General features: G+C 34.8%; 1 long non-coding RNA gene and 1 pseudogene across 1 annotated transcript in view; one reads left to right on the top strand and one right to left on the bottom strand.

Annotated features, from left to right (window-relative positions):
• The window catches only part of LOC124904475 (uncharacterized), a 765,263-nt gene that overhangs the window by 450,484 nt on the left and 297,988 nt on the right, over positions 1-16,791 (bottom strand). The window lies entirely within an intron of this gene.
• RPL23AP22 (ribosomal protein L23a pseudogene 22) lies at positions 11,787-12,250 on the top strand (annotated as a pseudogene).

Here is a 16,791-nt window from a genome sequence, read left to right as displayed (position 1 = left end):
TCCAGCTACATGTTAAAGCAATTCCTAGACTGTGATACTACAGCCAGATTTTTATCATGAAACAGAAAATAACCTAACCACACATCAGGAATTGTTTTATAAGCAAAAGCTTTGCAGCTGTAGTTCTACAGGAGACTTTACTACATTATTAAAATAGAATATGGTCAATATTTTATAGTCAATACAAGTCAATTCATGTCTTTCTTTAGAATCATATATAATATATATATTACACATTTATAGAAACAGTACACATGTGACTATTTTATACTATAGTCTCTGTCAAAAAAAAAAAAAAAGAAAATAATGTTATATTAGTGACTAAATTTTACCAGTAGCTTTTTTTGTGAGCAAGAAGATAAAATATACACAGCAGTAAGCTGAATTTTTAGGAATATCATCTTTGGCAGAAATGAACAAGAAAAATCTTTTCAGTAAAGCAGTCTACCCATTATTCCCTGGAGGAGGGTCATTATAGAATCAAATATTGTCCTCAACAAATTCACTCTTATATTCTTAAAACATATCTACTTTATTGTGACTAATTTAAATTCCCCTTGAATATACTTGGCTTAGTTAACTTTCATTGGTTTGCATGCAATATCTCAAAAAGTTTCAGAAAATTTTTCAGCACAGTCATGGAGTAGGAAGCTGTGACTGAGAGCATTTGTGAGACTTTGTCTAGAATTAGGCCTCTAAGTAATATGGTCTTTTTATGTTTACTATTGCATCAAAAGAGTTCCTAGGTAAATAAGAACAAGGCAAGAAACATATAAATGATATTTGAATGTTACAATTGAAATATAAATATGCATATAGGCAAACACATACACATATAAATATATTTGACCTGGCCAGGTGCGGTGTCTCATGCCTATAATTCCAGCACTTTGGTAGGCCGAAGTGGGCGGATCACTTGAGGTCAGGAGTTTAAAACCAGCCTGGCCAACATGCTGAAACTCTGTCTCTATTAAAACTATAAAAATTAGCCATGCGTGGTGGCACATGCCAGTAATCCCAGCTACTCTGCTGGCTGAGGCACGAGAATCACTTGACCTGGGAGGCAGAGGTTGCAGTAAGCCAAGATCCTGCCACTGCGTTCCAGCCTGGGTGACAGAGTGAGACTATGTCTGAAATATATACACATATATATTTGACCTGGTCAGACTCACCTAACTAAAAGTGATAATAAGAGAGGTAGTGTATTAGTTTCCTAGGGCTGTGGTAACAAAGTACCACAAACTGGGTAGCTGAAACAACAAACATTTACTCTCTCACATTTTGGAGGCAAGAAGTCTGAAATTATTGTGTCAGCAGGGTTGGTTCCTTCTGCTCCTTCTGAGGACTGTGAGGGAGAATCTCCATGCCCCTCTTCTAGCTTCTGGTAACCTCAGGCATTCCTTGGCTTGTAAATTAAATGGCGTTTTCCCTGTGTCTTGTCATCTTTTCCTCTATATTTGTCTGTCTCTGCACACAAATTTCTCCTGTCTGTAAGGACACTAGTCATACTGGATTAGGCCTCACCTACATAACCTCATCTAAACCCAACCATCTGCAAAGACTATTTCTAAATAAGGTTACAGTCACCGGTGACCTCTAACATCTTTTGGGGGCGTACAATTCAACCCATAATGGATGGAATGCCTTTTTATGGAAATATACAGGGAGACTGAGAAAGCCCATGCACAGGAAAAGGTGGTTAAGTAAGTTCTCTAATAATCTGCTAACCTTTAGGACAAAAGCCAGCCCTAAACAATCTGATCTAGATCAGATTGGCAGTAACTATTCTCAAAAATTATTCTGTTGGAACTGATGTTCTAGAGCAAATTGGAAATGTTTGCTATTTACCCTCAGAGTAGTATCATTTTTCTGAAGACATCCTTGAAAAAAATTATTGTACTGGTTAAAAAAAAAAAAAAGCCAAGAAGATTTTAACTATAATTATAAACATAATAATCCCTTGAGCCCAAATGTTTTGTATTTGAAGCTCGAGTCTCATTAAAAATAATAATTTGGCTTTTATTATCATTTCTTCCAGATTGAGCCATCTGTGTCTAGGAATGGATACCAACAAAAACACTACTGATAATATGATTACAAATTATCTATGAAATGATGTTTAGATTTTTAATTTATTAGGTTATTAACCAAAATGTTCAAGTCCATCTCATAACAAGAAGTTACTTCGATTTGCAGCTCCATTGAATTATTTGACATATTTTTTGTCTATCTTCTCTGTAGTGGGTTGAATTGTATGCCCCCAAAATTATGTATAAGCCCTTACCCCCATCCCTGTGAACGTAACTTTATTTGAAAACATGGTCTTTGCAGATGTAATCAAGTTAAATTAAGGTCACACTGGGTTAAGGTGACGCTCAAAGCCAATGCCTAGTATCTTTATAAGAGAAAGGAGTCGGAGATTTGGACACAGAGACACAAAGGACACTCAGAGAAGCAGGCCCTGTGACAACAGAGGCAGAGTTTAGAGTCGTGCAGCTACAGGCCAAGGAATGTCACAGACTGCCAGGAATAGCCGGAAGGTAGGAGAAAGGTAAGAGGCAGCTTCTCCCTTGCAGCCTCCAGAAGGCGCCAATCCTGCCAATACCTTGATTTCAGACTTCTAGCTTCCTAAACTGAGAGAGAATAAATTTCTGTTGTTTTAAGCCAACAAGATAACAATTAAGCCAACAAAGTAATAAGCTAGCAAGGTAATAATTTTTAAGGCAGCTGTAGGAAACGAATACACTCTCATTTTTACACATAGTCTCAGTCATTGGAGACACATTTATTCTATACACTAGTGTATAACCATTTACAAGTGGCTCATATTCATGAAAAAACTTCAGTCTCTGCTTTTTTATAAAGAAAAGGGGTTTCCACGTATACAGTGCAGGTCTTGGGTAGTCTTGGCTTATAGTGAGTGATTTTGGATAGAGGTACTGAGGAAACACTCATTAGTTGGCAGCATTATTGTTATTATTACAATATTATAAGACAGGAGCACTTACTGAGAATGTTTATAGTGATTAAAATAAAATTTGCCTCTTCTGAATGAAGGACTTTCATGCCTCTAGAAAGTCTGCACTTTTTTTTTTTTTTTAAGGAAAGATGGGGTTTCACCATGTTGGCCAGGATGGTCTCGATCTCTTGACCTTGTGATCCACCCACCTCGGCCTCCCAAAGTGCTGGGATTACAGGCGTGAGCCACCGCGCCTGGTGTAAGTCTGTATCTGTATTCTAAATGAAATCTTAGGACACTGAATTAAATTTAGTAAAAGGCTTTGAGGAGGGTACCAATGGGGATCCAGAACTCGCTAATGCTCTTTACAAAGCTGACATCAGGAAAGTAGGCATACACACTAGGTGTTAACTATGTAATAATGTAAAATTATTTGAAATGGATTAATGACACTAAATTTGAAGCAAACCAATATAGTTTAATGGGTTTTTTTATATTTTCATAAATATTTTAAAGGTTTTATTGATCATGTTTCATGTTGCTTCTTTGACTTGTGAGTAGCATGGAGAGTAAAGTTTGTGGAGTAATCAAGTGGCTATGACCGAAAGGCCACAAACAATTAAGTGTGTTGTGAACCTGGGTACACTCCTTGTTCCGCTTTAATTTCCAAGGACCTGACCCAGTTAGAAGGTTCCTTCTCTAAGGAGTAGCCTTAAAGAAGACACAGGAGCCTCAGAACAGCCCAGAAACAGAGAAATTAGTCAAAAGAGAGAAAAATGCCACAGACTCAGCTGTGGGAATAGTTAAAAAACAAAAAAAACAAAAAACAGTTGTAGGGGATTTATATATGAAAATAGTAAGGTAGAAAAGAGAAGTATTAATAATGTTGCAATATGAGAGCAGTTCTAGAAGGATTTAGCTGTAAGTTTGCAATCTAAGAAGGTTTAGTATATATTACTTGTTGGACCTGGGTAATTAAGCCTCACAAGATTAACAGTTACATGTCAAGACAATCAGGGAGAGCAAGAATGCTCAATTATTCCAAGGGTAGAAAGTAGAGAATTCTTATTTAACTTTCTTTACCAACTTACATTCCTGATAGCCTTTCTCCCCTCCCCCCTCCACCGCCCCCCCCACCCCCCCCCCGAGGTGGAGTCTCACTCTGTCACCAGGTTGGAGTGCAGTGGCTCAATCTCGGCTCACTGCAACCTCCGCCTCCTGGGTTCAAGCGGTTCTCCTGCCTCAGCCTCCTGAGTAGCCGGGACTACAGGTACATGCCACCACACCCAGCTAATTTTTGTATTTTTAGTAGAGACGGGGTTTCACCATGTTGGCCAGGATGGTCTCGATCTCTAGACCTCATGATCCACCCACCTTGGCCTCCCAAAGTGCTGGGGTTACAGGCGTAAGCCACCACAACTGGCCCTGATAGCTGTACTTTAAGGGTTGTGAGCTTCTTGACATTGTTTATTTTTCTTAATGTAAGTCTATTCTGACTTCAAAAGGATTAAGAGAAGTCTCACTTCTCACCACTAATTAAGTTATTCCAAATCAGTCATGAGGCCTTTCCTGGGTTCAAGTTGCCTGACTCTATTCCAACAAGACAGACAAATAAAATCTGATCACCCAAGTTACACCTTGGAGTGGGTCATGTGCTGATCCACAAATGAAGGATGGCCTATCACTCAGGTCTGAAACAGAGAATTTTTGAGAAAGGCTTTCTATTCCTCTTAGGAGACACAGGAAGTTGGATCTGGCATTCACCTCCAAAATTCCCATACAGTTGATGGTTTTAAAAGAAGAAATGACCAGTTCATGCTGAGAATTAGGAGGTAAAGAAAGGCTTTATTTCTGTGTCACTAAAAAGAACTGTGTCCTTTTCTAATGACAGAGCAATCTCTGAACTGAGCCAACAAGACAAAATTTTATAAAGGTAATTATAAGTTTCATTATATGTCACTGTAATCTTAAAGAAGGTCTGGATGCCTGTAATGATATGCACATATCTCTATCTCATATTATAGTCTTTGACTATAAAAAGAAATCAAATCTTGTCAGAGTCATCAGATGTTCTGGAGATGAACTTTCACAAGAACTTTGTTCATTAACGAGTGCTTAAATTGTCTTTTAGGGGTCCTCTGAGCTAGGAATGAGGAATTCTTTTCCCCTAGTCTTCAGGAAGACACCTAGCATAGTTTATAAAGGTTAATGTTTTCCCTGATTTTTGTCTTTCTTATTTCAAGTCTCAGTTATAATTCTAAGTTTCTTCCTCAATGTTGTCAGAAATAAGAGAACCTGTCTCTTTCTATTCACTATAACTGTTTAATTCATTTATAAGATAGTACTGACTTACTAAGGGAACTATTTTAAGGGAAACAGAAAATGTCCCCCTTTTATGTCACTGAAAATCACTAACTGATGAAGATATCACAGGCACAGCCAGCACGACTCTCAGGTAGCTGTTACAATTCAGGCTCCATATGAACATCGATTGTCAAAAGTTTATGTTGAGCCAATTAAACTTAGCCCATAACACTTTCTCTCCCTAGAATCAAGGACTGAGCAAAAGTTAATAAAAGTTAAAATCTATTTTTCCTGGCAGCTTGCCCCTATGAGTCATACAGAAAATATCATTGTTTTCTAGGGCCCAATCTTATCCCAAACTTGCCAACTTTTAATATAAAGTAGACTATAAAACATTTACATTTCATCAGGTTTGAAATTGCTATTTTTTGAATATGGAATACCCGATAAATTAGTCAGTTGCTAATTTAGAATATGCCAAAAAAAATGGCCTTTGACAGGGTATAATCTGACTCCAAGTTCATCCAGCTAGAACCTCATTAACAGAGTCCTAAAGATAAAGAAATTTGCAATGAGCAAGGCCATTCTTTACTGATTCCTTGGCCAGTTGGCTAGAATGACCCCAGGCAACTGTGCAAAGTGGCGAACTGTGCAAAGAGGCAGGCTTGAGAAAAGTGGTGCTGATTTGAAATGTATATTTGCAGGAATGTGAGAAAAGAAATAATAAAAGATAACTGGTGGCTAGTAGACACTGTTCTAAATTCTTCACAAGTGTTAATTCAATCCTCATAACACTGCTATGATGTAGGGACCATTTGTGTATTTTAGGCATGAGAAAACTGAGAGAAAGAGAGGTTGCTTAATGTAAATAAGTAAGTGATAATAAGTAAATAAGTAGTAGAAATGGATTGGAACTCAGGGGGTCTGACTTGGGGGTCTATGCTTTTGACCACTGTGCTTTACCACTATTTGACAACTAATAGGTCAATGATTCTTGGTCTGTGGAAGAACAGACTAGAACTTGACACACTTTTCTGTTCTAAATACTACAAATTTCCTTATATCAAGTACTTATCTATCTTAAATCCACTGTATTTTTCTTGCTCTGGATCTGACATTATGCCAAAAAACAAATTTATAAATTATTTTTTATAAAACAAATGTTCCTTAAAATCATACACATGTAATTATAAATATTCTGTCCATCAATTGCTGAATGCATTAAACAGTGGTATATTCATACAATAGAACACTACTATCCTAATAATAGCATTACTGTATATATGAGTACATGACTTCCTTTAGAGAGTGCAATCTATTTATACGGTTTTCGTCATGACTTCTATTCTTAGATATGCCAGTTGACTTCTTTCTGTTCCCTGACTATTCCCCATAATTCTTAGATTCATTACAGTGGACAAGGAGATGTAATGAGAGAAAGCTGCCAAGTCAACCAAATGCATCTTTATAGGCACATCCTGATGGTCAGCGTGTGTAAAATCTTATTTGTATAAGCTAAATTTTTAGTGTTAAATGTACGTGAGTTTTCACAATAAAAAAACTTTCATAACATTACAAATGGATATGTTTAAGCAATATTTTGGCCACTTAGAAATACTTCTGGGTTGTAATTGTTTTTGAAAAGTTTCTTGAAATATAATTTATATACACTACAATCCACTAATAGTTCTGATAAAAGAAACAGTTCCATAGCCACCACCACAATCAAGATATAGATTAATTTTTACCCCCATAATTTCCTGGTATCCCTTTAAACCTTCCCTTAATGGGTTTAAAATCTTCCAATCAGAAGTAATACCATGATCTATGCTCACATTTCCTTAGCCAACAATAATCTTGGCCAACTCTAAATTCAAATAAGTGAAAAAGTGCAATCTTATCTATAAAAACTTTGAACAGATCCAGACAAGGCAATTGTTGTCTTAACCCCAAGTATCTTAAATTTTTTTGTATTTTAAATCAACTTTATTAAGATGTAATTTATATACAACTAGATTGTACTGATTTTGTATACAATTTAATGTTTTTAAAAGTATAGCTATATTTTTATAATGCAATAGCAATAAGAACATTTCAGTCACCCCAGAAAGTCACCTACGGCCCTTTTGCTATTAATCCCATATCCCATCTCCAGCTCCGAGGAAACACTGATCTGCATTCTGATACCATAGTTTTACTGTTTTAGAATTTTATATAAATAAAATCATACAGAATTTAGTCTTTTGTGTCTAGCTTCCTTTACTGAGCATAATGGTTTTGAGACCCATCCATGTTGTTACATGTATCAGCGGTCCTTTTGTTTTTATTTTTAGTATCCCATCATATGAATATACCAAAATGTGTTAAGCCATTCACTTGTTGGTAGATATTTGGGCTGTGTCCAGGTTTTGAAATTAAGAAAAAAATTGCTATGAATTTTTATGTACATGTATTTGTATAGACATTTCTCAATTCCTTTTGAGAATGAGAAATTGCTGAGTCTTATAACATGTGTTTAGATAATCTTATAAAACACTGCCATAATGTATTTCAAAGCAATTGTACCATCATACATTCCCATCTGCAATGGATGAGAGTTGCAGTTGCTTCCCATTCTTACAATGTTCTTGTAACTATGTAGCAGCATTGCATTGTAATTTTAATTTGCATCTTCCTGAAAATTGTGATGTTTGGAAGCTTTGCATATACAGTTTGCCATTTGTATGTTGTCTTTGGGAAATTGTTTAAATATTTTGCTTACTTTGTTTTTAAGTTGTTTGTCTTATTAATGAGTTTCAGAAGTACTTAACACATTTTAGATAAAAATCCTAATTCATACATAAATCATTTACAATTATCTTCTCCCAGCCTGTGGCTCACCTTTTCACTTTCTTAAAGATGCTTTTCAAAGAGCAGAGTTTGTTTACTTTCATAAAGTTCAATTTGTCCATTATTTCCTCTTTGGTTTTGATTTTACTGTCTTGCCTAAAAAATGTTTGCCTGTCCCAAGGTTGTGGAAAATGCCTATGTTTTCAAAAATTATATATTTAGCTTTTATACTAAGGCCTATGGTTCGATTTTGTGTATTATGTGTGGTATTTGAGGTTTAAGATTTCCAGATGTTCACGCACCATTTGTAGTAAAGACAATCCTACCTTTATTTTATATATATATATAATTTTTTTTTGAGATGGAGTCTCACGTTGTCACCCAGGCTGGAGTTCAGTGGTGCAATGTCAGCTCACTCCAGCCTTGACCTCCTGGATTCAAGCGATCCTTCTGCCTCAGCCCTTGAAGTAGCTGGGACCACAGGTACACGCCAAGACACCTGGCTAATTTTTTGATATTTTTTGTAGATACAGGGTTTCACCATGTTGCCCAAGCTGGTCATGAACTCCTCAGCTCAAGCAATTCACCTGCCTTGGTTTCCCAAAGTGCTAGGATTATAGGCCTGAGCTACCATGCCCAGCCTAATCCCATCTTTATTAAATTACCTTAAGAAATTTGTAATATCTCAATTGACCTTATATATATATATATATATATATATATATATATATATATACATCCATATATATAAGTTCTATTGAGATACATTATATCTTATATGTGTATGTGTGTGTGTGTGTGTGTGTATGTGTGTGTGTGTATTTTATATATATCTCTTTGTGGCAAAAGTCTTTATTACTGTAGCTTTATAGTAAGTCTTAAAATTATGTAGTGTAAATCTAATGTTTTTCTAAATTACTTTAGCAACTACTTAAGGTCCTTTCAATTCTCACATAAATTTTAGAATTCACTTGTACATGCCAACAAAATTAAAGCCTATAGAGATTGCATTGATTCAATAAGTCAATTTTGGTAACATTTATATTTCAATAATATCGAGTCTTAAGATCCACAAGTATTGCGTGTTTCTCCAGTTATTTAGATATTTAATTTTTTCCAGCAATGTTACAGTTTTCAGTGTAAATGTCATGCATATATTTTATTAAAATGTAGTATTCTTTCATGTGTTTTTATCCTCTCAGAAATGGTATTTTAAATTTCAATTTTGGGTTACTTGTTGTTGGTACATAGAAATACAATTGATTTTTTATATTAGTCTTATATTCTGCAACTGTGTTAAATTCACCTATTTGCTATAATAGCTATTTTATGGATCCTTTCGTTGTTTTCCATGTACATGGTCATGTCTGCAAGTAAAAGAGTTATCTTTTCATTTAAAATCTGTGTGCCTTAATATCTATTCATTGCCTTATAATTGGCCAGGACACCTTATGTAATGTAGGATACAGGTAGTGACTGCTAACCTACTTCCTTTGTTTCTAATCTTGAAAAAGGGTTCAAATTTTCCCCATGAATTATGCTGTTAGTTTAGGACTCTTGTAGATTATCAGTATAAAGAAGATTACTTGTATTCTGAATTTGTGGAGACTTTTTACAATCTGGCAATGGCTCCTAATTTTTCTTTGTTTTCTGAAAAGATTGAGATGATTATGTGGGTTTTCTCTTTATTCTCTTCATAAGATAAATTATATTGATTTTCAAATATACAACCAACCTTGCATTACTAGGATAAACCCTATTTGGTCATAATGTATCACCTTCTTTACATATTGCTGAGTACAATTTATCTGTTGTTAAAAGGATATTGTATCTATTTTTTCTGTAATGGTTTTTTCTGAGTTTTGCATCAGGGTTATAGTGGCCTCATGAAACAAGATAGGATGTATCTCTCTTCAATTTTTTTTCCAATGTTTGTATAGGGTGGTTATTATTTATTTCTTTAATTCTTAATAGAATTTAGGAATGAAGTCATCTGGACTGGACTTTTTTGTGGGAAAGTTTTTGTTCACAAACCTGATTTATTTAATAGATATAGAGTGTTGTGGGCTGAAATGTATTCCTCAAAATTCATACATTGAAGCACTAACCCCTAGTACTTCAGAATGTGAAGTACTTGGAAACAGGGCCTTTAAAGACGCAATTAATGTAAATGAGCTCATATGTGTAGACCTTAATTCAGTATGACTGGTGTCCTTACAAAAAGAGTTTAGGATACAGATGCCCACAGAGGAAAGACCATGTGAAGATAGAAGGAAAAGATCACCATCTATAAGCCAAAAAGAAAGGCCTTAGAAGAAACCAATTCTATTGACATCTTCATCTCGTACTTCCAGCCTACAGATTTGTGAAACAATAAATTTCTGTTTAAGCCACCCAGTCTGTGGTACTTTGTTATGGCACCCCGGTACACTAATAATAGGCTTTTTCCAATATCCTATTTCTTCCCGCATCAGGTCAATTATGTGTCCCTTTGAAGAGTTTGTCCATTGAGTCTGAATTATGTAGTCTATTGGCATACAGTTAGTTGCTCATGCTAGTCTCATTTTCCATTTAATGTTTCTATGATCTGTGGTTAAGTATTCCTTTATTCCTGATATGAATAATTTGTGTCATCTGTTTTCCTTACCAGTTTAACTCTTATCTATTTTAAATTTCTTTCCAATAACCAGATTTTAGTTTTATTGCTTTTTCTCTTTTATTTTCTATTTCATTAATTTCTTTTGTTTTTCTATATATTTGGGGTTTAATTTGTCCTTTTTTCAACTTTTTAAGCTGGATGGTTAAGTCAACAATTTTAGACCTTACTCATCTTTTAACATAAGTATTTAGAACTATAAATTTGTGTTCAAGCATGACTTTAACTTTTTCTTGGCCTTCTATATGTTGTATTTTCATTAGCATTCAATTCTATTATCTAATATACCTTTTGGTTTCTTATTTGAGCTTTAGGTTGCTTGAAAGTGTATTCCATAATTTTCAAGTCTTTGGTAATTTTCCAGATATCTTTCAGTTATTTACTTCTGATAAATTCCATTTGGGCAGACACCATTCCGTGTATGATCTCAGTAATTCTAAATAAATTGATACATGTCTTACAGCCCAATATGTCATCAGTTGTCATATTTAATGTGCATTTGAAAATAATTATTTCTCTGCTATTATTGGTTTTATTGGGCTCTCTCTTCATATATATATATATAATATATATATATTTGATCTTTATATTGATATATGACTTTAATCATGGTGGTGGATAGTGTTATTCAAATCTTCCATATTCTTACTTTACAATACTAGCTCTATCAATAACAGAAAAAGATGAGTGCTGAAATTTTCAATTATCATTGTAAATTTGTCTTATTTCTTCTTTCAGTTCTATTGGGTTTTATTTAGAATTACTACTGTTTCTATATCATTTTGTAGCTCTGTTATTAGGTAAATACTCACTTAAGACTTTATGTCTTCTTGATAAAGTGACCCTTTCATCATTATGAAACCTCTTTTTATTCCTGGTGAGATCATTGTAATATCAACATGATACATATTTTTCTATCTTTTAAAATTTCCACTTATCTGTTTTTATATTTAAATTGCATATTTTTCAGTAGTAAGTAGTTAGAGCTTGTCTTTATTCTGACAGTCTCTGACTTTGAACTGAAATATCTAGGGCAGTTTTTCACAAGGTGGTGCCAAAGCTGAAGAAGGCAGCTCCTGCCCCTCCCAAAGCTCAGGCCGAAGCGAAGCCTTTGAAAGCCGAAAAGGCAGTACTCAAAGATATCCACAGCCACACAGAAAAAGATATGCACATCACCTACCTTCCAGTGGCCCAAGACACTATGGCTTGGGAGGAACCCTAAATATCCTTGGAAGAGTGCCCCCAGGAGAAACAAGCTTGACCACTATGCCATTACCAAGTCCCCCTGACCACTGAATTAGCTATGAAGAAGAAAGAAGACAACACACTTGTGTTCATTATGAATGATAAAGCCAACAAGCACCAGATCAAACAAGCTGTGAAGAAGTTCTATGACATTAATGTAGCCAAGGTCAACATGCTAATCAGCCTGAGGGAGAGAAGGCTTCTGTTCAACTGGTTCCTTACAATGCTTTGAATGTTGTGAACAAAATTGGGATCATGAATTTTATATAATATATATATTATATAAATATATTATATAAATTTTAATATATATTTATATTAAATATATATTTATATTTAATATAAATATATATTATATATAGTATATATAGTATAGACCATGGGAAAATTAATAATTTATATATAATATGTAATATTTACAGGCAATTTATTTCATGTAATTATTAAATAGTTGAAATCTACATCTTCTGTTTCTATTTGTCATATGTGGTTTTTTCCTTCCCTCTCCCATTTTCCTGCCACCTTCTGAATTGTCCTATAGCATTCAATTTTACTTCCACCAAAAGCTTATTCATCTTTTAATTATTTTCAGTTGTTCTAAAGTCACCGTATGCAACTGATCACATTCTACCTTGAAAGAATATACCACTTCTCATATACTGTAAGACAGAATACTTCAATTTTGCTTCTTTTATCCTTTGTGATACTGTTACCACAGTCTTTACTTTTATAAATGTTACACTGTTGTTTTTACTTCAACTATTCAATTATCTTTTAAAGGATTTTAATTGAATATTTCCAGTGCTTTTTATTCTTTTGCGTAAATCTAAGTGTCCACCTGGTATCATTTGTCTTCAACCTGAGGTCCCTTTAATGTTATTTCAAGTATACTTCTGCTAAAAATGAATTTTCTCAGATTTTGTGTACAAAAGCTTTTGACTTCTTATTGAATAGTATTTCCATGAGATATAGAATTCTAGAATAATATATTTTTTCTTTCTATGAAGATATGATTACATTGTTTTTTAACTTGCAGTTTTTCTGAAGTGCAGTCTGCATTTTTTTAAAATCTTGGTTCCGTAATTTTTTTTTTTTTACTTCTAACTACTTTAAAAATTTTTCCTTCTGCTTACTGATTTCTAGCACTTTGAGTAGGATGAACCTTAGTATAATTTTCTTAGTGTTTGTGCTGCTTGAGATTCTTTGGGAAGCTCAGATTTAGGGGCGTATAATTCTCACAAATTTAGGAAAATGTTGGCCACTATTTCTTTAAATATGTTTTTCTGTCTCTTCTCTCTCCTCTCTCGGGCAATCTAATCACATACATGTAAGACTGCTTGATATTGTAACACAGACTACTCGGCTTCTGTTTATTTTTTCAATTTTTCCCCCTCTGTGCTTGAGTTTAGATAGTTCCTATTGCTGTGTTTTCAAGTTCATCAATCCTTTCTTCTGCAGTTTCTAATCAGCTGCTATTTTCAAACACTGCCTTTTTAAAAATTTTTAACTATTGCATTTAAGTTTGTTTTAAAGTTACAGATTGATAATTCCATCAACTCTGTTATTACTAGATCTGTTTACTGTAATAGATTTTTCTTAATTATGAATCACATTTTATAGCAATTACTCATATCTGTAAATTTTTATTGGAAGCTGTACATTATGAATAGTAAGACAGGATATTTTTGTCTCTTTTGAAGGTGTTAAAGTTCATTTTTTCAGGCAGTTAAGTGTTGATAGAAAAAAAATTCTGCATGGAAAATGTTCTGGTACAGTATTCCCAAATGGTTGCAAACATATTAAATTTAACTGTTGGTTCTGCTATCCCCCACCAGATGGCTCTACCAAATTTAATGCTATTCCCTCTAACCTTACCAAGAAATTTACAGGAGACAGCAAGGGATGGCCAAACATCCTGTATCTCCTACACAAATTACCTGCTAACACCTCCAGATGTTTTCCCTATCCTCATTTTGATGGCCTTAGATCAGCCTTCATACATTTTTTGTCATATTCTGGCTAATAATCAGAATTAAATATAAAATAGACCCAATTCAAAAATCATAATGCATCTTTGTTATTTCTAACAGCTACCCCAGTTGACCTCATTGGAACATCCTCCTAGTGGCAGCCCAGCCAAAAGGGAGCTTATAAGATTTAAACTTAATTCTAGTTCAGCCACCTGGATTTTCTTGCTGGATGGTACTAGAACCTAAGGATAATGTCCACTTGACTGAGTACAATATGCTACAAATTTCTCTGCGGTGACCCACTGTATGAAAGACATATGAATCCCAGTTTAAAAAAAAAAAAACAAAAAAAACCTTTTTCCCTCTGATCCTCTGACACCGTGATAGCCAGTCCTACACAGTTAAATCCTTCCAAGGTCTGGATGTAAGTGATCAATAACACTACCTTGGTCTTAGGGAGGGATTCATGTTAGCCTTGATTTACTAACAACTTACACAAGTTAGGTTGAGGATAGAATTGCCCTAGACTTCCTCCTTGCAGGCCAGCGAGTAGACGTGCAATCATCAATAAATCTATGTGGATTAATTTCTCAGGTAAAGAGGAAAGATTGATACAGATCCTAAGAAGAAAGTCATCTTGCTCTCTAATGTAGACTCTAATGGTTTACGGTGATTTATTGAGCTGTTTATGGGCAATATTGAGGTCAAAATTGCAGGTTAGCATCATCCTGCTGTGGAAAGTACCATTTATTTGTTCCTAATTAAATGCTCCATGAGATAGACTGTATTTGGTCCTAGACTGCATCAGCTACATTAATCAGAGTGGCCAACAGATTGTTTTACTCATAGGAAAATTTACCAGAAGACAAAATGGTAGATATTGCTGGAAGACTATTCTCCCTGAGTCTCTCACATTCCTGCATATATTGTGAGCAAGTCACTGATTTCCTCTGTTTGTGTACTATAAGGATGTTTTAATAGTAACCTACCTTGGAAAACTAGAAGTACTGCCTCCCTCTGGAGCAAAGGTAAGGTATTTTCATTGCACAGTATAATAAAGGGAATAACCGAAATATTTCTCATTATAAAAGATTTAAATTCCTTTAGGTCTAGGTGTCTTTCCTGTAAAGAAACTACTACGTGGCGAGGTATCATCCAGTCTTCTCTGCATTGCCGGTGGGAATTGGGACTCGGGGAACGAACACAAAAATATAACGATACCCTGGGTACTACTATTGCTGCAAGTGAAAAATTATACTTTATCTCCAAAAGTCTTGTGTCTCCTGCCAGCTTCCATGAAGCTAACTTGTTAACATCCAAGTAGGGTAAAACTTTACTCAGACCCTTCAGAGCTCCTGACACTACGTTACAGCTACATGCAAATCAGCTTAATCTTTTCAAGGCTTGTCATTTAAGTTTTCTCAGTGGGGTCTACTGTAACCTTTACTTCGTAGCAAATTTAGCCCTGCTACTACTATGTGAGACCTTTACAGGTTTTACACCAGATGCCTGGGATATTCAGAAATGTCTCTTGACTCTGGCTGATAGGAATGCAGATATCTCCCACTCACGTGCAAGCTGTGACTTTCTAGCAATTATTATTTGCTTGTCTTTGTTTAATTTCCCTCTACACAAAGATTTGACAGTCCAACTTGCTAACTTTTGGAGCTCTCTTTCTCTATGTAGATTTGAATTCTCTAACACTCCACCCTACAAACACCATGAGCCATGGCCTCCCTGAGCTCCTCAATTCAGCAAGACCTCCTGATCTGTTTGGCCACTTCTCCCCTGCACAGAAGCCTAGATGTTTCGTCTTGTCAGAAAGCCACGGCATTAGTAGAGTTCACCATGTTTGCTTCCTTTCAGGGTCACAGTCCTGTGCTAACTGTTGTTTCTACACTTCAAACAGATGTTTCATAAGTTTTCTCCAGTTTTATAGATGTTTATACCAGGATGGCCTGACTTACACAGTCAAATCCTCCAGTGGAAGAAGCCTTAGTATTTGAAGGTTTTCTATGGGGCACAGCATTTCTCCTTAAATCCTTTCCACAATCATTGATCTATGTTTTCCATGGAGAATCTATCTTATAATTACTTTTTTTGTGTAGATTTCCTCCATCCAAATAGAGAGTAAATACAAAATACAATTGTCAATCTTTTGGCCTTAATATATTTTTGCTCTTGCTATATGCTTAAGCTAAAAACTTATGGCTTACATAATATCCAAGCATTCTTTTAAATATGAATAAGCCTGCCATCGAAAACTAATAATTTGCTCCAGTTCTATGAATAGTCCACGTTCTATGCTCCACCAATAATTTCCTTATTTTCTCAAGCCAAAATGAAGTACAAATTTAATTTAATGCTCTGTTCAGTCTAGACACACTCTATTGAATTCCACATTTAATTTTTACAGAAGTAGAGCTAAAGCTTACACTTTCATTAATTTACCAAACACTGCCTCAGAATCCATGACATTGTACAGTCTATACATTATTAAAGAGATAGGAGAATGCCTGATTTCATCTGCAATGAGCAAATAGAATAAGATATACATTCTTTCTTCTTTTTTAACTGAGTAGAGAGAATTACTTCATTTGTCTACAGATATATAACTTTTTACTCTATCCAAAGGAAGCACTCACCAGAAGCTTAAATCCTACTTAGTGAGAGAATAATAGGTCCCTATACTATGTTAGCGAGACTCTATACTATGTTACTTCACAGAGTGTATTTAAATAGAAATACTTTGTCAGACTTTATCGTTATCAAAAATCACTGAAGATTATCCTGTTGAAATATCATTTTTCATAGCTGTATGTTTTAAA

The sequence above is a fragment of the Homo sapiens genome, chromosome 1, assembly GCF_000001405.40.
Source record: "Homo sapiens chromosome 1, GRCh38.p14 Primary Assembly".
Taxonomy (NCBI): Eukaryota; Metazoa; Chordata; class Mammalia; order Primates; family Hominidae; genus Homo; species Homo sapiens.
This window is presented reverse-complemented; position numbering and strand designations above follow the sequence as displayed.